The 23,487-nt window shown below is 36.6% G+C and overlaps 1 long non-coding RNA gene across 2 annotated transcripts in view; it reads right to left on the bottom strand.

The window, feature by feature from the left end:
• LOC105371665 (uncharacterized) overlaps positions 1 to 23,487 on the bottom strand; it is a 37,592-nt gene that overhangs the window by 7,913 nt on the left and 6,192 nt on the right. The window contains exons 1-4 of one of the 2 annotated variants that reach the window (XR_001738349.1): positions 5,525 to 5,659; positions 3,195 to 3,350; positions 1,964 to 2,111; positions 978 to 1,115 (exon numbers count right to left, since the gene is read on the bottom strand). This is a non-coding gene — a long non-coding RNA (uncharacterized LOC105371665). Of the gene's footprint in view, positions 1 to 977; positions 1,116 to 1,963; positions 2,112 to 3,194; positions 3,351 to 5,524; positions 5,660 to 23,487 lie in introns of those variants that run through there. The other variant, XR_922383.2, reaches the window with a different exon arrangement.

The following is a 23,487-nucleotide window of genomic DNA, read 5'->3' on the forward strand; positions in this document are numbered from 1 at the left end:
CCCCTTTTACTGCCAGCTACAGCAACAATTCTTTGCTGCTTGTAGCAAACTCCTAAAATATATATTCAACATCTCCAGTTTTTTTTCCTTTTACCTCTCATTGTCCTAAATACACTCCAAATTTTGTCCCTACGACTTCTTTACAGATTCCTCCTTTGGTCCCCAATGTCTTATCCTCAGAATGCTTCTTTTCTACCTGCACTCAATCTCTTAGTGATGGCTTTGATTACTATCCATGTGCTGTCAACTCCCAAATATTTCTCTCTCTCCCAACCTCTTTCTAGACTTATCCAACTGCCTACTCAACCTCCTCATTTGGGTGTCTTACAGACATCTTACATCTAATATAGCCAACACTGAGCACCAACCCCAAACATTGATTCCCAGCCTCAAACCATTACCTCTATGAATGGCAACTTTATCCTTCCAGTTGCTCAAGTCAAAAAGCTGGCATCATTCTTGATATCTGTGTTTGTCTTACACACAACACTCAACCCATTCTTGTCTTCCTCTTATAGCTGAGGCCTAGAGAAGCTAACTGACTTGCCCATGATTCCTCAGCTAGCAAGTTACTGCCAAGATTCATTCCAGTGTTAAACTCCTCTCCAGTGCTAAAGTCTTTGCCAACTAGTGAACAACTCACCTTTAGTCTAGCTTGGACACTAACCTAAAAATGAGTCATCTAGCCAATCATAAAAATAGAAAAGAAATAGGTATAGTGTTTAAATATTCCAAAGAGTCTCTGAAGTGACTGAGTTGTAACTTTAAACTAATATATGGCCTATCATATATTACATTTGCACAGCTGGTAAAAGAAATGTGTTCTGCAATTTGTGAACACACTGACATAGGACAATTTATCAAAGATTTAGCAGGGGCTTCTTTTCCTTCCTGACTTCAGATAAAATTGCCAGGCACAAAGCCTTCTGTATCACATTGTCTAGACTTCAGATGAGCAGATTTCCCAAAGCTCTTACCAGAAGTGACTGTCAAAGATATCCTCTGATCTTTCTTACTCAGCCCGTCTCTTTTCACATGACTCCAAATTTGGCAATTGTCAGCAGATGTATGAAGTTGTGGGAAGACACCAATGACCCATCTCATCTTCCTTCCCTCTGCAATTCTCAAATGCAAGTAATATCAGCTTGTCTCAAAGATGTTATCTGTCCAAATAGTTTTGATTCTTTGCCCTCAGTGTTTTTGTTACACATATTTTACATGATGTCAGAACATAACATTTTCAGAAAAAAAACAGCCTAGGGAATCCACAAAGTTCACTGAGCATAAACATGGTTTACTAGCATCATACTAGGTCAGTTCCTTTAAAAGAGGCTACCTAGAATATTTAGTGGCCTCTCTAAAGTTTTTTTGCAGCATTTTGTTTTAAAATGCCAGGGTTTAGCTTCATGATCCTTTGGGCTTTTAAAGAATAGTTGCCTTCATCTTTTAAGGATGGCAGTGGTATATTGGGAGAATATATTTTGAGAACAGTCATTTTCCTGGCTCAGAATCCTTCTTATGTGGTGTTACAAAGATTGGTGATATTTTTGTTACAATTTTTAATAATTCTAACAATTTCTTCATTCCCTTACTAAAAGAATCTGCCATCTCCATTCCTTCCTCACCATGTTTCAAATTTGCTCATTCACCCTTAGAAACAATACTTCTCTGTTAAAGTCACATTGTGTGACAGTGAGATTTCAAGAGTTCTGGTTAGGCATTTTGTAGAATGGCCTTCATTTTGCATTTGCCTCACATTTTCTTATGATTACACTGAGGTTATGAATTTTTCCAAAGAACCCCACAAGGTGAAGCATTTTTCTCATTGCATCATGTCAGAGGACAGATGATATTAATGTGATTTATCTCTGGTGATTTTAACTTTGATCACTTGGTTAAGACTGTATCTGTCAGGCTTCGTTCTTATGTTTTTCCCATATTAAATAAAAATTGCAATGCTTACCTATGGTAGACAGTGCCTCCTGAGTATATTCTCTTTGATGATTTACATTCAGTTCTTATGAGTGCCTGTCTGTGGCTGTCAATCCTCTCCATGAGCTTGAATGCACGTGCCTCCTCCTCAAAGCTACATGTATGTTACTTCAACATTCCTTTAAGGGGAAAGAAAAAGTGGTTCTTTTACAAAGTCTGTGTGAATTGTCATCAATATTTGACACACATGCCTGCTCAGCAGCCTCAAGCTAGACAGCATGTATGTGGGAAGGAGCATGGCACATAGTTGGAAGTACTTTGTGTTGGCAAGTTACATTGATGCTACTGAAACTAAACATTGAGACCTAGACCAACAAGCCAAGAACCATCCCATGCAACTCCCAGTGCATATAGCTTCTGCATATTAATCAGTTGAGCATTTACAGCACCCCTAATTAGAAAGCTCTATCACTTTTTATAGCTAGTACTTGGCCAGGCGGTGGTGATGCTTAATGTTGTGAGGGATCTTGTAACCAAAGTGAAAAGTCCCAAATCAAGGGAGTCTCCCACTTTGGGCAAACCTTCTCAGAGACTAATGCATAAAGATATAGAAATCAATAAATTTCATGCCCAATGTTTAGGTTACTTAGTTAGCAATGCCTTAGAGGTTATCCTGCCTATCATTTCACCCTGTGAAGAAAATTACTACTCCTTAGTATTTTTTTCCACATAAAGAAGTTGATTTATGGTTTGATTTTTACATGTTGTCTGCAAATTAACATATGATCATGAGGATGGATGTGGTGGCTCATATCTGTAATACCAATACTTTGGGAGGCCAAAGCAGGCCAATCACTTGAGGCCAGGAGTTTGAGACCAGCCTGGCCAATGTGATGAATCCCTGTCTCTGCCAAAAAATACAAAAATTAGCGGGGTGTGGTGGTGTGTGCCTGTAGCCCCAGCTACTTGGGAGACTGAGATGGGAGAATCACTTGAACTTGGGAGGTGGAGCCTGCAGTGAGCTGAGATCGTGCCACTGCACTCCAGCTTGAGCAACAGAGTAAGACTCTATCTCAAAAGAAAAATTATGTATATAATCATAAGAACAGGCACAAAAAATCATATTTATAGATAACAATTATACTTCCATTTGACTTTTCATTTAGGAAATTTATCCTTGTGCTATTAGCATAAATGATAGTTTTTCTAATAAGAAGAAATTAATTTTTGAGGTTTATTATGATTATAAGAGGAATTCTTACCTTTTCTCTGTAGAATTGGAGATTCCAGCTGCTATTATGGAAGCATGGTTGCAGTGGGTTTCCAATGACTTATGGTTCAACACAGAAATGATATTGTTGTAATTGGTTTAGAGTTTCTCTTCTTGCAGAAGGTGCTGTCACTGCCATATGGTGCTGCTGTGAAAACAGGAAGATTAGATGCTGACTTTATTCACTGCAACAGTGATATCTCTTCTGATCAGATGGTAGCTTCTCAGAGTGTACAGGGAAAAGCAAAGTCTCAGCTCCCAGGGTTAGTCTCAGCTGTGTTTGTTCCAAGTCACTGTAGCTGTGGCCTCCCAATGTTACAGCTTTTTATTTTATATTTAAAGTCTCAGTCATTAATCCCAAAGCATGTACACAATGCTATAGTGGCTGAGTCAGACACATACAATGCTTAGAGCCATCCCCGCCCCAGGAGAGGCTGTCACCAGTTCAAACTCCTGAATTCCTCATCTCTCATTTCAGTGAAGAGAGATGTTCTAATGATGTTGAACATCAAAATAAAAAGTAGTTGGGGTCTTAAGCTCTGTGCAAATTTGAACTGACCTTTCTCTAATAGACTTTTTGTCCCACATTCTAAAGGATATGGTGTTGGGATGACTTTTATCAAAGTCTAAACTTTTTGTTACACCATGATATTAATTTAGACTTTCTATTCTATTTTCTAAATTACTTTTCTTTAGGAATTTTCCTTATTTTGCTGTATGTTATAAAATGAAATCTCCATAGTCATCAGTCTATAGATTAAGCAAAACTTTCTCCCCTTTTCTTCATTATCCTTAGACATTATGTTTACCATGTTCAGTTTAAAACACCATAAGCAAAACTACCTTAGTATATAATGGACTGAAGTGAAAAATATACTACAGAGAAATTCTCAAGGACCATCTCAGAAATTTATCTAAGGAAAAATGGAAAAGGAGATTGTAGGGGGAGGGGGATTGGGTTGTCATGTGTTTAAAGGTACAGAACAAAGAAGGTGAGAGGCAGCTAATGGTCCCTATATCGCCTCCAGCAGGGTCACGGAACAATGGCAGTTCTGCTGGAATTGTTCAGAGGAGGTTCTTTGCCTGGCCTTAAGTTTTAGTGTCAGCAGCACATGAAAACAAGCCTCGGCAGAGGAACAAATGACCAAGATGCTTCTAGTAAGGACCTTGATGAGGATGGAAGTGAAGACAAAAGGGAAGCTATGAGACTTGAAATATGATGCACCATTCCACAGTTTTGAATGTGGTCCTGTGGGAGAATAAAGACTGTTGTTTATTTACATTAATTTGACAGTCACAGATTATTTAAGAGTTCTGATTGCCTGCATGCAATCATGCATGCATTTGATAAACACACCCTGAGATATTTGGGCTAAGTCACCTTCTTAATCCAAGTTTGTGGTAAAAGTTTATCCTGTATTTTAGATATCCTTCATAACTGAGAAAGACTGATTATGGCAAGAGGTATTATTCGATGCAACTAATGATCAAGGAATTTAAGAAGAGTGTGCAGATAGAGATTCTTTACATTAACTTGTAGCAGTAGCTTTAAGGAATTCTTTAGCTTTAAAGTGACTTCTTTCACAAATAGGAAAGTAAAGGACAGCAGCCAGAGGTCTAAATGTCATTTGTTCATTTGAGAACAATATACAAAAAGTATCAGAAATCAGTTTCTTTGCATTAAGAAGTATATGTGATAAGGTGAAAGTTTCTTAGATTTGCATATTAAAAGCAATGGCACTCGGTGCCAAAAATGACTATGTATAAGGCAGAATCTTATCAACTACAATAAATAGAACAAAAAAAAAACATGTAAGCATAACTCCAGTTGGCATCAAAATCTACTAGGCTAAGTCTATAAGTGCAAATGTGTATGTTAATTGCTAATATGTCTCACTTAGCTGAATGCGCCAGTATGTTCGGAATCCAAGTCATTCAGCTCTGCACTACTTCAGTGAAGCTGAAGTGGTTGCAGTGGAAGCACACACTTAGGTCTCCCAGGACAACCAAAAACACATGCATTTGCCCATCATCTTGATGTTTTCCTAAAGAAATATAACCCCTATTTAAAACAGCCCTTAGGTCTAATGAAAATCTGTAATATATATATTCAGATATATGTAAGGCTACATTTTCCAGCCCAGCACCTTTTCCCAACATAAATCCCCAAAGATTTTAACTGCATTCCTTTTTCAGCACAGAAGAGTTATGTTCTTAATTACTGGCATTGGAACAGTGATTTTTCAGGAGGGAGTAGGGAGTGAGAAATTGGAAGGTGAAAGAAGGCATATTAGAATTACCAAGGGAGAATTTTCAAACTACCTCACATCCCCACTTCCTGACTTTGGGAGTCTGATGTGTGCCTCAGGAGTCTTGGGACCTAGGGGTGTGGAGAGGGGGATGCAGCTTGTTGGAGCCTCTGTGATCCAGTTCTGTTCCCACACCTTCCCTCATTTAGAAATCCTGAAGTGAAGGAAAACACACTTCTCTGAAATATTTTTTAAAGGTGGACTCCTGAGGGAACAAATAAAACAAAGTAATCAGCAGAACAGTCTCAATGTTCCTGACTGAGATTGAACCAAATGATCCTGAGCATTCTTCTTCACACCTTTGTTATCTTAGAAAAGAACAAGCTGTAACAACTTTCTCACTTGACTGTCACATTCTAGGTAACAATGTCTCAGAATGCTCAATGGTACTGGAGGGTTTATGCTGAATGCCTCTTACTGAGGTCTTCATCAAGTATTAATGCAAATAAAAATTTTAATATTATTATCTAAATATAATGCTCTAAATCTCACCCCCAGGGTTTCTCTTCTTCAGATAATTTTACTTATTCATTGAAATAAATTAAAACATGCCTATGGTACACTTTATAGTATCAACATTTGTCAAAAATATTTAATTAATTGTATTTTATTCAATTGTGTAATTTGACTCCCAAGCCTCAATATTGATTCAGCCTCCAAAATATTTTGAATTATACCTTTCCTCCAGAAACAATAGAGGAAGGAACTTAAGTTTCTATCAACACAGTGGAGAAAATGTGGTACATATACACAGTGGAGCACTATTCAGCCATAATAGCAGAATGAGATCCTGTCATCTGCAACAACATGGATGGAACTGGAGAACAATATGTTAAGTGAAATAAGCCAGGCACTGAAAGACAAAGTTCACATGTTCTCATTCATTTGTGGGAACTCAAAATGAAAACAATTTAACTCATGGAGATAGAGAGTAAAATGATGGTTACCAGAGGCTGGGAATGATAGTGAGGGATGGGGTGGAGGGAAAAAGTGGATGGTTAATGGGACAAAAATGTAGTTAGAGAGAATGAATAAGGTCTACTATTTAAAGGCTGAGCATGGTGGCTCACACTTGTGATTCCAGTGCTTTGGAAGGCCAAGGAGGGAGGATCGATTGAGATCAGGAGTTTGATACTTATGCCTAGGCAACATAGTAAGACACATATCTACAAAAGGAAATTTAAAAGTTAGCCAGGATTAGTGACATGTGCCTGTAGTTCCAGCTACTCAGGAGGCTGGGGCGGGAGGATTTTTTGAGCCCAGGAACTAGAGGCTGCAGTAAGCCATATTCATGCCACTGCACGCTAGCCTGAGTGACAGAGCAAGACCCTGTCTCTGAAAAAAATTAAAAATCAATCAATCAATCAATAAACCTAGTATTTGATAGCACAATACGGTGATTACAGTTGAAAGCAATTTATTGTACATTTTAAAATGCTAAAAGAATAAAACTAGGTTGTTCATAACACAAAAAAAGGATGAATGTTTGAGGTAATGGATACCCCATTAACCCTGATATGATGATTACACATTACATACCGCTATCAAAATAATTCGTGTACTTCATAAATATTTACACCTACTATGTATTCATAAAAATAATAATAATAATTTTTTATAAAGAAACAATAGAGCCCAGGCTGTTGTCTGGAGTGAATCATAGACATAGGATCTAGGGAAAGACCTAACTATAAATAAATAAATACATATACATAAATACTAATCTTTTTAGATATATAAAGAAATATGTAACATATAAATAGAGGCATCAATTTACATAAAATTACAATAGAAATGTTTATATATACAATAGTAGAGGGCTGTATGCCATTGTGTAATGATATTTGGCCATATACGAAAGAAGCAAAGAACACTATTCAATAAATAATGCAGGCACACATGCACACATGCACACACACACACACACACACACACACAAAAGATCTCTACCTTAAACCATACACAAAAGTAAATTCCAGGTAGATTTTAAAACTAAATATAAAAACCATCAAACTCTACAGACTTTAGAAGAAAATATTTAAAAATTCTTCGATAACTTCAAGGTAGAAAATATTTTCTTAAATAAGACCCAAAAATCTACAACTGTAAAATTTTCTTTTACATTCAATTACCTAAAATATCAAAAGTCAATGTTAAAATAATAAAATGATCAGGCTCAGAGTAGAAGAAATAATTTGCAACTCATATAACTGACAAAAACAGTACAGAATATATAAAGAACATCTTTATATGATAAAAATCAATATGAAAAAAGACAACACAAAGGATACAAAGTTTCACTTATGCAGCATGAATAAGTTCTGGAGATTTAATGTATAGTATGGTAACTATAGTTAACAATACTATATTGTGTACTTGAAATTTGCTAAGAAGGTAATCTTGTGTCTTCCTCACAAAAAAGGGAGTAACTCTGAAGTGATAGGTATGTTAATAAGCTTGATTGTGATGATCACTTCATAATGTATACTTAAAACATTAAGTTGTATACCTTAAATATATAGAAATATTTTTATCAATTATACCTAAATGAAGCTTTATAAAAAGACAAACAACAAAATGGAAAAATGAGAAAATGACCAGATCAGTCATACAAACAAAAACCTAAATTGATAATAAATGTATGAAAACATGTTCAACTTTGCTAATATTTATGGAAATAAATATTAAAGCTACAGTAACATACCATTTAAAACCCATAAGGTTAAGGGAAAAATTAAAAAGACTGATAATACGAAGTGCCTGTGAAAATGTAGAGAACTGGGAACTCTAACAAACTACTGATGGGAGCTTAAGTTGACACAAGCACTTTGGAAAAGTTTGGAAGTGTGTGAAAGATGTACTCACCATAATTAGGGGAGTCAGAGATCACCTCTAACCATCTTTAAGCTCTTACATGGGCCCTTCAGCTGAATCTATAAACCAAACTGACACCAGGCAGATTAACAAAACAAAAGCATACACATTTTATTAGTTTTGCATGTACATGGGGACTTCACAAAAGAGTAAAGTCCAAAGAAGTGGCCAAAAAAAGATGCTTCTATACTTTTTAGACAAATAATGATAAATTTTAGAAGAAATGACAGGACAAAGGAAATCTGGCTAGGGACAGTAACTATATTCAGGTTCACTGTAGGCCGCCAGTTCCCAGTCTCTGGCGATAAGGGCTATTTTCTAGCTCTGGTACTGGGAGGGTACTCCTCCCAGAGGAATCTTTATGGCTTGCTGCCTGCAGGAAGAGACAGGTCAGCTAGACCTTTCTGAAACTATCATTTCTCCAATGTTTTCAACTCAACGTAGTCAATATATTAACCCAGCATATTTCGGGATGGTATATCATTCAGTCCTTCACATACAACCACAAAATTCCATTCAATATGTATCTTAGAGCAGTGGTTCTAGGATATATGTGTGGCCTGAAGAACCCTAGAGGCTTCCTAAGACTCTTCTTTCAGGGAATCTACAAGATCAAAACTATTTTCATAATACTAAGATTGTTTTGCTTTTCCACATTCATTGCTTCACAGTGTACAATGAAGTTTTGCAGATGCTACCTGCTGTACACACACACACACACACACAGACACATACATACATGCTAAACACCATCTCTTAAGGGGAAGGAGGTGAAATGGCATCAGAAAGGGCCACATGGAACTGATTGTCTTGTAACCCTGAGTAGATGTAAAATGTTCATCATCAGCTTTACAAATTCTATTTTCTGGATCACATATTAAAGAGATAAAGTCTCCTACTGTGTATTTATATAAATAAACTATATTTACCAGCCTCACATTCTTATATTTAACCAACAATCCTGATAGTAATCATAAATTCTCCTATGATAGCCTTTGGCTTTTTGACGTGAGAAAAATGAAAGGACTTCCTCCACTGAGGAAAGGTACCCCAGTGGAGAGAAAAGCACAAAAGCCATGGATGAAAAGAGTCTAGATTTTTACAACCATGCCTAGTGCTCATCCACTGGCCCAAGCAATTTACATGACATCTGTGAACCTCCTCCATTCCTTATTTGTAAAATGGAGATAATATTTCTTAGATAGCATTATAAGTATGAGGGGTAACTAATGTGAAAGGATTTTTTTTTAATTAAGAAATGGCCTTTGGAGGTAGAAGATTTATTCATCTCTTTGGATTCCATGTTAGTCAACATAACGCTCCTTTCCATTCTCTCGTGACTCCCTTATAGTGGCCCAGGGAGGGTTCATAGTAGGAGTCATCCTTCTCAGGTGAAGGCAATAAAGGGTATATTGCCTAAAGAGAATTTTAAAACAATAATAAAACCAACTAAAAGTCCAAATGCTGTTTATTATTACCACAGGCTGCTGATTGTAAATATTGCCAATGCTGCCACTGCTCTTATACACCTTCTTCACTCTGTAGGACTCAGCAAAAATGCTGGCCTTTTTTTTTTTTTTTTCTTTTTTTGAGACAGTCTCACTCTGTTGCCCAGGCTGCAGGCTGGAATGCAATGGTGTGATCTCGGCTCACTGTGTTCAAGCAAGTCGCCTGCCTCAGCCTCCCGAGTAGCTGGGATTGCAGGTGCCCACCAACATGCCTCGCTCATTTTTGTATTTTTAGTAGAAACAGGGTTTCACCATGTTGACCAGGCTGGTCTCAAACTCCTGACCCCTGGTGATCCACCCACCTTGGCCTCCCAAAGTGCTGGGATTTAGGCGCGAGCCACGGCGCCCAGCCCTGGCCCTATTTAAATACAGCATCTTGCATATTCTGCATCTAACTCAGAAATGAAGAAAACACACAATAAAGCTAAAAATTCCATTGTTACATTCATGACCTCAAATCTTAAATGGACATTCAACACTGGTGGGCATTGCACTACACTTTTCTGGTATATTTGTTCCCCTACTATCCAAATTACTATTTCACACATTTTTCTTCCTTCTCAAATATATGACACTCCTGACTATCCCTCTCAGTATTTGCTAATGACCTCATACCTCATTAAGCAAGGAGAAAGAATGCAATGGGAACGCCCTCATTTTTCTACCATTAAATATATCTTTCCTACTAGTAAATTCTACCTTTCCTCCTCCTCTCCCAATAGATGAGGTATTCCTGCTCATAGATGATTGTCCCCTTGTGCTCTGGATCCCCTATGACTTTTTCAAGGACTTGATGTATATAATTACCGCCTATCTGTCAATTGGATTATTATACCTAATGGAAGAATGGATGGATAAATAGTTGAATGGATGGATGGATGGATGAATGAATGAATGGAGAAAGAGATGTTCCCTTGTTCACACCTCCTTTGCAGCTACAACCTAATTTCTCTGCTTCCTTTCCAAGAGAAACATCCAAAGTGATGTCTAAAGTCATACTCTCCATTTTCTCACTTCCTATTCTCTCCTCAATTTGATCTAACTGGACTTTGTCCCCACCATTCCACAGAAACTGTTCTAAGCAAGATCATCAACAATCTCCATCGTGTCCAATCCAATGTCACTTCTCCGCCCTTAAGCCCTCAGCAGCACACAGCTACTATAATACTCCCTTCCCTTTGAAGAATTTTCTTCTTTTGTAGCATCACATTGTTCTGGTGTTCTTGCCTAACTAATTGCTCTTTGTGAGTTCATTCTTCACATCTTTAGATACAACCTTTATATTCATTCTCAAAAATCTATATTTACAGCTCCAGCCTCTCCCTTGAATTCTCTGTCTAAAAATGGCATTCATTTCTATTTTAATATGTCCAAAACAGAATTGTTGCTTCCCTGCCATATATGTTCTTCCACCATCTTCCCTTCATCAGCAAATGACACAATAGCTTACCCAGTTGCTCAAGCTGGAAACCTAATGGTTACCTTTTTTCTCACACCCCAAATTAATCTCATCAGCAGCCCCAAAATATATCCTAGATCTAACCATTTCTTTCCATTCTTTATCATGGTAGTCTAAGCCATTATCATCTTTACCTTGGGCTGCTGAAATTTCCTTCTGTTTGCCCATCCATCATTCTTTTACCAAAAATTCTATATTCTACACAAAAGCAAGAATCAGTTTGCTTTCGTGTAGAATATAGAACTTCATAAGCAAGCTGACTTGCTTACAAAATGCAAATTAGATCATGTTGCTTCCCTGGTGAACATCCTCCCATTACTTTCCATTATAACTAGAATAAAATCCACAACCTTTACCATTGCCTAGAAGCCCTGCACTATCTGGCTCATCCCCACCTCTGTGATCTCATCTCCTTCTGCTCTAACCATTGCTCAACGCATTTTAGCAATATTGACCTTCTTTTTCTTTCCTGGATATCACCAGGACCCTTTTCCTTAGAGGGAGTTTACATCCCAGTTTCCCTGAGTGGTCCAGGTTTTTGCCTGTTGTTCTGATGTCCTATTCACTTTTGCATTTGCACTTGAGCATTTGTCTCAGACTCATCTTTTGTTTTAAAACTAAGGCTTATTAATTGTTGCATTAAAATAAGCCAAAATGGGTTTGGTAGATCTTCCCTTTGTACTTCCAGTGGCTACCCTGCTGTTGTCTAATAGTGTGTGAAACATGTGCAGCAAACTGAGTTCTCACTCTAACAAATTGACTAAATCTGAAAGGTGACTATCAATAAGCATTCTCTTTTTTCAGATGCTTTCAAAGGAAAAGTAACAATCAAGTTGGACTCTTCCTAAAGTAATGCACTGGGACAGAAGAGGGTAGGAAGAGCCAAGTGTTCCAGGTCTCTGAGGGTGGTCAGAGATGTAGTAAATTTCTTTACCTCTGGTATACTAGCCAGTGGGGCAAGATGTTGGAAAATATCCTGTGGATTACTGGGCTTACCTTGTCTGAATGTTGGAGTCTCCTTTAGCAGTGCTTTTAGGGTGAGATTGTGTTCCTGTTTGTAGAAATCTAGTAAGAAACATCTGGTTCTATCACAGACTGTGGCTAATGACTTTCTACCCTGATGCAGCCCTCTGAGGAACTACTGTGTGGATTGGCCACAGTCTCAGTGAAAGGACATTTGCTCTGGTCTGCCCAGACTCACCTAGGTTTCAGATGTAACACCAAGAGCAGCAACATTTGCAATAGCAACTCAGAATGATGCCATTCAGCCAATTCTCTCAATTTTCTGGAGATAGAAACTTGGGACAGTCTCATTAGACTAAGTAGATAACCCTGGGGGTCCAAAGGGATATCTGGTGATGGGGGAAAAAAGGAAAAAAAACAGGCTGCTGCAGATTGTGAGATAGAGATGGAGTCATATTCATTTTATATAAAATAATATAAGCATTTTTTTCTGAACTCTAGTCTGAGTCATTTCACTGATATTCAGATCTCCAAAACACATAATAAATCTGAACACATTCAATGCTAGTGAGAGAATTTCTACAAAGCACTCGATGCCCAGTAGATGCTGAGTAAACAGTAGCCAATTTCACTGAGTACCTAAGTGGTACCCAGTATAAAGAAAGTCCTAGAAGTTCACAAGAAGTTACAGACCCTGTTTCGTGCACTCTTGAAGTTGACATTCCACTTTGATTGTAACTTAAATACATATACATGTGAATAGCAACAAAAGCTGGAATGTGATTAAGTCTAAAAGTAAATATTCCAATAATAAATGCTGCAGGAATTAGAGAAAAAAAGGCATTATTTTGAGCTGGGTAATACCTTTTTTTATAAAAATTATTGAGCTCGTGATTGCAATAAGCTATACAAATCTCAATCATCAAAAAATTAATGTTAACAACATGTCTAAAAATAAGTATGTAAGCACTAAGAAGTTTAATGTCATCATCTATTCTTCTTTTCCTCTTAAGAATAAATAATTTACTGTTAGAAGTTCAATTAAAGAACATGCTGAGAAAGAGTAGGACCTTAGAAAAAAATAAGATGGCCATTCACTGAGGCCCACATTTATACGTACCTCAGAAAATTGCTCACTATCTGGGGTCGCTGGCACACATACCATGTAGGACCAGAAACTGGATCTCACCAATGTCTCAGAGTGATAAAACTCAGGAATGCTAAGTTATGCAAAACAAACCCATATGAAACGAATGCTAATGGATTACTTCACACAGATAAATGTAATTGTCAGTCGAATAGGGGCATTGGCCTAAATAGTACAGTCTTTTTTTGGACACATGCTTCATGGAAACAAAATTTTCAAAGAAGCTTGGTAAACCTAGGCTCAGAATGGGAAGCAGGTGCAGTTAATTTTATTATTTGGATGTTTGATAATAGCAGGTCTAATGGACTTATGGGTCCATCTCCTTAATAAGGAAGAAGACACGAAATAATGCCATAACTCATGTTGAACTCCTAGAATGTAGTATGGCTCACAGTAAGCATTCAATAAATATTTGTTGAAGGAATGAAAGTTCCCCTGAACACTGCTTGGATAGGTATTGCCAAAGTTTATCTTTTTAAAAAATTCTAATTTCCATTATTCTAATCAGGACATTTTTCATGATATATTAATACCTTCAATCCCTTATAGTCAAGACTCACTAATTTCAAAGCCAGTTGGTCTTTTTAAAGCAAAGTTTCTCAAACTTAGCACTATTGACATTTTCTACTAGATAATTTTTTGTTATGGCAGGCTGTCTTGTGCCTTGTAGAATGTTTAACTGCATCACTGGCCTCTATGCCCCAATGCCAGTAGCACATACATACCCTCTCCTGTGTCTCCTGTTAACATTTACCTTTGAAATGCATGATTGTATTTTGTTTCATGGTTTTGACATAGTTCACTTCAATAAGACTAAATGAAAATAGGATTGGCTTGGGGTGGGGTAGGGTAGAATAGAAGGAGGAATTTGAGAAGGAAAAACGAGTAAGAACATGTAAGTCAATCAAAAATATCTCCAGGCATTGCCTAATATCTTCTAGGGGCAAAATCCGGCTTGTTGAGAACCAGTTCTTTAAAGTGAAATCTCTGCTCTGATCTTTCAAGTACTAATTTCAGAACTTAACCATCAAAGACAAAGTCCATGAGTTACTACAGTCATCACCGTTGTTTCTCCCAAGCTCCACTTTAACCCTTATTGTCAATGTCACCAGACCATTATATAGATGCCATATTACCAGTAGTAGTCTCAAGGGAAAGAGAACATAAAACAATTAGGAAAAAATGTAAGTTCCTCACTTCCACTCACCCCCACTCAAATACCACCAAGAGTCCTTGGAGATACAGTGAAGGCAGGTAGTTATTTTGTGAGTGTGTCTTACCAGCACACTTGGTGAGCTTTCATCCAGTGGATAAGTAGCAGCAAAGGAAAGCAAGCAGAAATCAAATTTCAAAAAGAAGCAACATAAAGAATTTTGACTATATGGCCATTCCTTCATAACAAAGATTGATATGATCAATAAGTTTTCTTTAACACCCATCATGCTTCTCTTACATCACACTGTTCTCCCCCAAACCTCTTTTCCCATTTAGCCTTTTTTTTTTTTTTTGAAACAGAGTTTTGCTCTTTTGCCCAAGCTGGAGTGCAGTGGCCTGAACTCGGCTTACTGTGGCATCTGCTTCCCCATTCAAGCAATTCTTATGCCTCAGCCTCCCGAGTAGCTGGGATTACAGACATGCGTCACCATGCCCAGCTAATTTTTTCTATTTTTAGTAGAGATGGGGTTTCACTACGTTGGTCAGTCTTCTCTTGAACTCCTGACCTCAAGTGATCTGCCCACCTCGGCCTCCCAAAGTGCTAGGCTTCCAGGCGTGAGCCACCATGCCTGGCCCGTTTAGTCTTTTTGGTCTTATTGCAGTGAACTACATTTCTTTTCCTTTAGTCTTATTGCAGTGAACTATGTCAAACCCATGAAACAAAACACAATCATGCATTGCAAAGGTAAATGTTAACAGGAAACACTGTGCATTTTTCATAGAATTGGTCCTTCTGCCTGAGTCTTTGAGCTGCTTTCTAACTGTGAAAGTATTTAGAAACTCTTATCTGACATTGCAACTTTTATGATCATAAATTCATTTATTTCTTATTTTTGTTTTTTATTTTTCCGTAAGTTACTGGGGTACAGATGGTATTTGGTGACATGAGTAAGTTCTCTAGTGGTGATTTGTGAGATTTTGGTGCACCCATCACCCAAGCAGTATACACTGAACCATATATGTTGTCTTTTATCCCTCCCTCCCTCCCACCCTTCTCCCCAAGTCCCCAAAGTCCATCGTATCATTCTTAGGCCTTTGCATCCTCATAATTTAGCTCCCATATATCAGTAAGAACATACAATGTTTGGGTTTCCATTCCTGAGTTACTTCACTTAAAATAATAGTCTCCAATCTCACCCAGGTCGCTGCAAATGCCATTAATTCATTCCTTTTTATTGCTGAATAGTATTCCATCAAATATATATATATATATATATATATATATATATATATATAAACAAGTGGATAAAGAAACTGTGGTGTATATATATATGTGTGTGTATATATATATGTATATGTGTATATATATGTGTGTGTGTATATGTATATATGTGTATATATATACATATGTATATGTGTATATATATACATATGTATATGTGTATATATGTATATACATATATATACACATATATATATCAACAAGTGGATAAACTGTGGTGTGTATATATATGTGTGTGTGTATATATGTGTGTGTGTGTGTGTGTGTGTGTGTGTGTATATATATATACCACAGTTTCTTTATCCACTTGTTGATTGATGGGCATTTGGGTTGGTTCCACAATTTTGCAATTGTAAATTGTGCTGCTATAAACATGCGTGTGCAAGTATCTTTTTCAGAAAATGACTTCTTTTCCTCTGGGTAGATACCCAGTAGTGGGATTGCTAGATCAAACAGCAGTTCTCCTTGTAGGTCTTTAAGGAGTCTCCACACTGTTTTTCATAGTGGTTGTACTAGTTTACATTCCCACCAGCAGTATAGCATTCCCTGATGATCGCATCCACATCAACATCTACTGTTTTTTGATTTTTTGATCATGGCCATTCTTGTAGGAGTTAGGTGGTATCGCATCGTGGTTTTGATTTGCATTTCCCTGATCATTAGAGTTGTTGCGCATTTTTTCATATGTTTCTTGGCCATTTGTATGTCTTCTTTTGAGAATTGTCTATTCATGTCCTTAGCCCACTTTTTGATGGGATTGATTGTTTTTTTCCTTACTGATTTGTTTGCGTTTGTTGGGGATTCTGAATATTAGTCCTTTGTCAGATGTATAGATTGTGCAGATTTTCTCCCACTCTGTGGGCTGTCTGTTTACTCTGCAGGCTGTTCCTTGTGCGGTGCAAAAACTCTTTAGTTTAATTAAGTCCCAGCTATTTATCTTTGTTTTTATTGTATTTGCTTTTGGGTTCTTGGTCATGAAATCCTTGCCTAAGCCAATGTCTAGAAGGGTTTTTCCAACGTTTTCTTCTAGAATTTTTAATAGTTTCAGGTCTTAGCTTTAAGTCCTTAATCCATCTTGAGTTAAGATTTGTATAAGATGAGAGATGAGGATCCAGTTTCATTCTCCTACATGTGGCTAGCCAATTATCCCAGCCCCATTTGTTGAATAGGGTGTCCTTTCCCCACTTTATGTTTTTGTTTGCCTTGTCAAAGATCAGTTGGCTTAAGTATTTGGGCTTATTTCTGGGTTCTCTATTCTGTTCCATTGGTCTATGTGCCTATTTTTATACCAGTACCATGCTGTTTTGGTGACTATGGCTTTATAGTATAGTTTGAAATCCAGTAGTGTGATGCTCCAGATTTGTTCTTTTTGCTTAGTCTTGCTTTGGCTATGTGGACTCTTTTTTGGTTCCATAGGGATTTTAGGATTGTTTTTTCTAATTCTGTGAATAATGATGGTGGTATTTTGATGGGGATTGCATTAAAATGAATTTGTAGATTGCTTTTGGCAGTATAGTCATTTTCACAAGATTGATTCTATCCATCCATGAGCATGGGATATGTTTCTATTTGTTTGTGTCATCTATGATTTCTTTCAGCAGTGTTTTGTAGTTTTTCTTGTAGAGGTCTTTTACCTCCTTGGTTAGGTATATCTCTAAGTATTTTATTTTATTTTATTTTATTTTATTTTATTTTATTTTATTTTATTTTATTTTATTTTATTTTGCAGCTATTGTAAAAGGGGTTGAGTTCTTGATTTGATTCTCTGCTTGGTTGCTGTTGGTGTATAGAAGAGCTACTGGTTCATATACATTAATTTTGTATCTGGAAACTTTGCTGAATTCTTTTATCAGTTCTAGGAGCTTTTGGAGGAGTCTTTAGGGTTTTCTAGTATACAATCATATCATCAGCAAACAGTAACAGTTTGACTTCCTTTTTACTGATTTGGATGCCGTTTATTTCTTTCTCTTGTCTGATTGCTCTGACTAGGACTTGCAGTACAATGTTGAAGAGGAGTGGTGAGAGTAGGCATCCTTGTCTTGTTCCAGTTCTCAGAGGGAATCTTTCAACTTTTCCCCATTCAATATTATGTTGGCTGTGGGTTTGTCATAGATGGCTTTTATTACATTGAGGTATGTCCCTTGTATGCTGATTTTGCTGAGAGTTTTAATCATAAAGCGATGCTGGATTTTGTCAAATGCTTCTTCTGCATCTATTGAGATGATCATGTGAGTCTTGTTTTTAATTCTGTTTATGTGGTGTATCACATTTATTGACTTTCAAATGTTAAGCTATCCCTGCATCCCTGATATAAAACCCACTTGATCATGGTGGATTGTCTTTTTGATATGTTGTTGGATTCACTTAACTAGTATTTTGTTAAGGATTTTGGAATCTAAGTTCATCAAGGATATTGGTCTGTAGTTTTCTATTTTGGTTATGTCTTTCCCTGGTTTTGATATTAGGGTGATGCCGGCTTCATAGAATGAGTTAGGGATGGTTCCTCCTATCTCTATCTTGTGGAATAGTGTCAAAAGGATTGGTACTAATTCTTCTTTGAATGTCTGGTAGAATTCTGCTGTGAATCCATCTAACCCTGGACTTCTTTTGTTGGTAAATTTTAAATTACATTTTAAATTACATTTCAATCTCACTGCTTGTTATTGGTCTGTTCAGGGTATCTAATTCTTCCTGATTTAAGCTAGGAGGGTTGTATTTTTTCAGGAATTTATCCATCTCTTCGAGGTTTACTAGTTTATCTGCATAAACATGTTCATAGTAGCCTTGAATGATCTTTTGTATTTCAGTGGTGCCAGTTGTAATATCTCTTGTTTCATTTCTTAATGAGGTTATTTGAATTTTCTCTCTTCTTTTCTTGGTTAATCTTGCTAAGGGTCTATTAATTTTCTCTTTTCAAAGAACCAGCTTTTTGTTTCATTTCTCTTTTGTATTTTTTTGTTGTTGTTGTTTCCATTTCATTTAGTTCTGCTCTGATCTTGGTTATCTCCTTTATTCTGCTGGGTTTGGGTTTGGTTTGTTGTTTCCCTAGTTCCTTGAGGTGTGACCTTAGAATGTCAGTTTGTGCTCTTTCAGTCTTTTTGATGTAGGTCTTTAGGGCTAACTTTCCTCTTAGCACCACCTTTACTGTATCCTAGAGGTTTTGATACATTGTGTCATTATTGTCGTTCAGTTTGGAGAATTTTTAAATTTCCATCTTGATTTTGTTTTTGACCCAAGGATCATTCAGGAGCAGATTATTTAATGTCCATGTATTTGCATGGTTTTGAAGGTTCTTTTTGGAGTTGGTTGCCAGTTTTATTTCACTGTGGTCTGAGAAAGTGCTTGATATAATTTCAATTTTCTTAAATTTATTGGGGCTCATTTTATGGCCTATCATATGGTCTATCTAGGAGAAAGTTCCATGTGCTGTTGAATAGAATGTGTATTCTGCAGTTGTTGGATGAAATGTTCTGTATATATGTGTAAAGTTCATTCGTTTAAATCCATTGTTTCTTTGTTGGCTTTCAGACTTGACAACCCGTCTAGTGGAGCACTTAGGCTCCAATGTTAGTATTGAGATGTGAGGTACCGTTGCATTCATCGTGCTATCTATTGCCTGTGTACTTTGGTTTTTCTGTATTTTGTTTTTGCTTTTTAACATGTTTTTGTTTTATAGGTCCTGTGTAATTTATGCTTTAAAGAGGTTCTGTATTAATGTGTTTCCAAGATTTGTTTCAAGATTTAGAGCTCCTTACCAGTTCTTATAGTGGTGGCTCGGTAGTGGCAAATTATCTCAGCATTTGTTTGTCTGAAAAAGACTGTATCTTTCCTTCACATATGTTGCTTAGTTTTGCTGGATACAAAATTTTTGGCTAATAATTGTTTTGTTTGAGGAAGCTGAAGATAGAGCCCCAATCCCTTCTAGCTTGGAGGGTTTCTGCTGAGAAATCTGCCGTTAATCTGATAGGTTTTCCTTTATAGGTTGCCTGGTGTTTATGTCTCACAGCTCTGAAGATTCTCTCCTTCATCTTAACTTTAGATAACCTGATGACAATGTGCCTAGGTGATGATCTTTTTGCAATGAATTTCCCAGTTGTTGTTTGTGCTGCTTGTATTTGGATGTCTAGGTCTCTAGCAAGGCTGGGGAAGTTTTATTTGATTATTACCCCAAATATGTTTTCCAAACTTTTAGATTTATCTTCTTCCTCAGAAACACCGATTATTCTTAGGTTTGATCATTTAACATAATCCCAGACTTCTTGGAGGCTTTGTTCATATTTTCTTATTCTTTTTTCTTTGTCTTTGTTGGATTGGGTTAATTCAAAGACCTTGCCTTCAAGCTCTGAATTTATTTCTTCTATTGTTCAAGTCTATTGCTGAGACTTTCCAGGGCATTTTGCATTTCTATAAGTGTGTTCAGTGTATCCTGAAGTTTTGGTTGTTTTATTATTTAACCTATCTATTTCCTTGAATATTTCTTGTATCATATTTTGGATTTCCTTACATTGTGCTTCACCTTTCTCTGGTACCTCCCTGATTAGCTTAATAACTAACCTCCTGAATTATTTTTCAGGTAAATCAGGGATTTCTTCTTGGTTTGGATCCATTGCTGGCGAACTAGTTTGATTTTGTGGGGGTGTGGGGGTGTTAAAGAGCCTTGTTCTATTACCAGAGTTGGTAATAGAACTGGTTCCTTCTCATTTGGGTAGTCTCTGTCAAAGGGAAGGTCTAGGGTTGGAGGCTGTTGTTCAAATTCTTTCATCCCACAAGGTGTTCCCTTGATGTAGTATTCTCCCCCTTTTCCTATGGATGTGGCTTCCTGAGAGCCAAGCTGTAGTGATTGTTATCTCTCTTCTGGGTCTAGCCATCCAGCAAGTCTACGCACTCCAGGCTGGTACTGGGAAGGGATTGTCTGCACAGAGTCCTATGATGTGAACCATCTGTGGGTCTCTCAGCCATGGATACCAGCACCTTCAGTTTCGCCAGTGGGTGTGTGTGTTCAGAAGAGGATCTCCCTTTCCTACTTCCGCAGTTGGGGCATTCACAGTATTTGGGGTGTCTCCCAGGTCCTGCAAGAGCAGTCTGCTTCCTTCAGAGGATGTGTGGGTCCTCTCAGGATTGCTGGTTTGTTCTTGCAGTTGATCTGGAGCTAAAATTCATGATGTGAGCCTCTGCAGGCTGCTCTGTCTGTCCGAGTCAGAGCTGCAATCTCCATACCTTCATTTAAATTCAGAAGCTACACGTCTTCCAACTAGTCTCATCGTGCATAGACTTGACCCGCCCATTGAGTATGTTCCACACTCCGTACCTGGTGTACGAAATGTGTGGCATGTACACACATGGATTTTAGCAGGATACATGGCTAAGAAGCACTGCTAGTCCAGAATGTGAATCCATATGTGTAGTATGAATACAAAGTTAACTGGTAACAGTGAAAAAAAAGAGTTTTGAAAAGACAGGATTTTTGACTAATTGATCCTAAAAACAAATTTATGAAACAACTATAATATGAACAATATATATAACTTTTTGGAATTTAAAAAGGCTATTTATTCATATAATCACATTTTTAAAAAATAAAATATCACATATATTAAATACACGAGAAGACAGAAATTAATATTTATGGAACATCCAGCATATGCCTAGGCACCATCTGCAATAAAGATTATTTTATAGTTGAGGGAACATGGACCCAGACTAATTAAATTATTGCCTCAGATATCAAAGATAGTAAATAATACAATAAGGATGTAAACCTCATGTTTTTTCCCCAACCTTACAGAACCTCTCACTTAAACAAACTGCATGATTTTTTCTTTGATGTCATAAATACTGTTATGCCTAAATTGCTGATATAGCAAATACCGTTTTATTTAAAATATTTAAAAATACAATACAAACCTTAAAGGTAAATATTCTCAGTGTTTTTCAGCTGGTTAAATTACATTTTGTTAAACATAAGATTTTGATGGGCTTAACAAAAAGTAACGTGCAAGAGTGATAAAAGTTGAAAACTTAGCCAGAAATTCTATTTAATCTATGTTAGGATAATTTAGCTATATAAAGTTAAATAAATCAAATATATGACCAAAATTTAATATTTTGATAAAATAATGATAAATGAAATATTATGTATAAGATATTAATACAGTTGAGCCATGTTTAAGTCCTATTCAGTGGAATGACATGTTTTGTTGCATGTGTTTTGCTTGACAAAATGGCTACTTAAATCCCAAGCAAACTCTCTGCCTGTCAATTAGTCTCAGAAAGTCACAAGTAATTTCTGTTTTAAATTCAGACATGATATTTCCACAGCCTTTCTTTATATCTTAGAATTAAGTACAACTGCCTTCAGAGTCATTTTTTTCTTTATCCTCAATCTTTTCTTAATTTGTCCTCAAATGACCAGTCAGGAAAACCAGAAAGTTTAATGTGCCAAGAGTCACAAAAATGTCATTCCGATAAGCACTCATGGCAAGGACATGTATCTAAAAAAAGCCTTGATTTATTTCAGGAGCTTGTTAAAAGGGGTTCATAAGCTAAATTTTTCAGCCAATAAATTCGGTTTCAATATGAAATGGGTAATAGGATAACATTAGTCCAAATTTCAGGAATTTTCCACCTCAAATAATTGCCTATAATAAAACTACGAGTTATAATTATTGCCATAATCAACCATTCTACAGAAACCACTCTTTTCTGAATACATGATGTAAAGAAGAATAAAGAGAATGAGTCAGAAATGCAGAGACTCACATTTTTTTTATTATTGTTCTCTCCGTAGCACCCCACAAAAAAAAGTCCTGGAGCCTGAACTATGATTAAATGTAATATACTGCATGCCAATGATTTTGAGCATAAGATGCAATCAGTGTATGATAAGCTACCGATCACCCCAAGGGTGAGTCTTCTTCAGCTGGTGTTATTTTGTTTTGTTTTTAACTTTTTTAAAATTATTACTATTAAATGCTTAGGAAAAAGTATTATTTTTCCCAATAAGAGCAGTGTAAAAACTGTTCTGACCTATGTGATTTACCATAATTAATAAGCCAATTTTAACTAAGAAAAATTTAAAATAAAACCTATTGCTGAAGCAAGATGAGAAAATCTGACAAAATTCTAACAGCTGCCCTGGATAAAAGACACAACTAATTAGTCTGGGTAAATCCCCTTTTGTTAATTATTTTAATAATTACCTGATGATAAACACATAATTATTCTAATTAATTTCCCAACTGATTTTCCTAATGTGTCTACATTGTTTAATATTCTACAATTTCTTCACTTACAAAATAGATATGATATTGATCTTGCTGATACAGAGAAAAGAATTTAAAGCATGTATTCTGCAACTTTAATATGCAAAATAATTGAAAATTAACTTTCTTAAATAGTATATTAAGCACATGGTTGGTATTTAACAATTATTAGGTATCTTTCTTCTTTTCTTCATTATCGTCTTATTCTCCTTCTTTATTATGGGGAGTGGAAAAAGCACTGAACCAGGAGTTGAGGGAATTATTCCAGTGTTGGACTGTCACTGCTAGACATCAGAACAACCTCAGTATCCTCACCTTAAAAACAG

Source organism: Homo sapiens, chromosome 1 (assembly GCF_000001405.40).
Source record: "Homo sapiens chromosome 1, GRCh38.p14 Primary Assembly".
Lineage (NCBI taxonomy): Eukaryota > Metazoa > Chordata > Mammalia > Primates > Hominidae > Homo > Homo sapiens.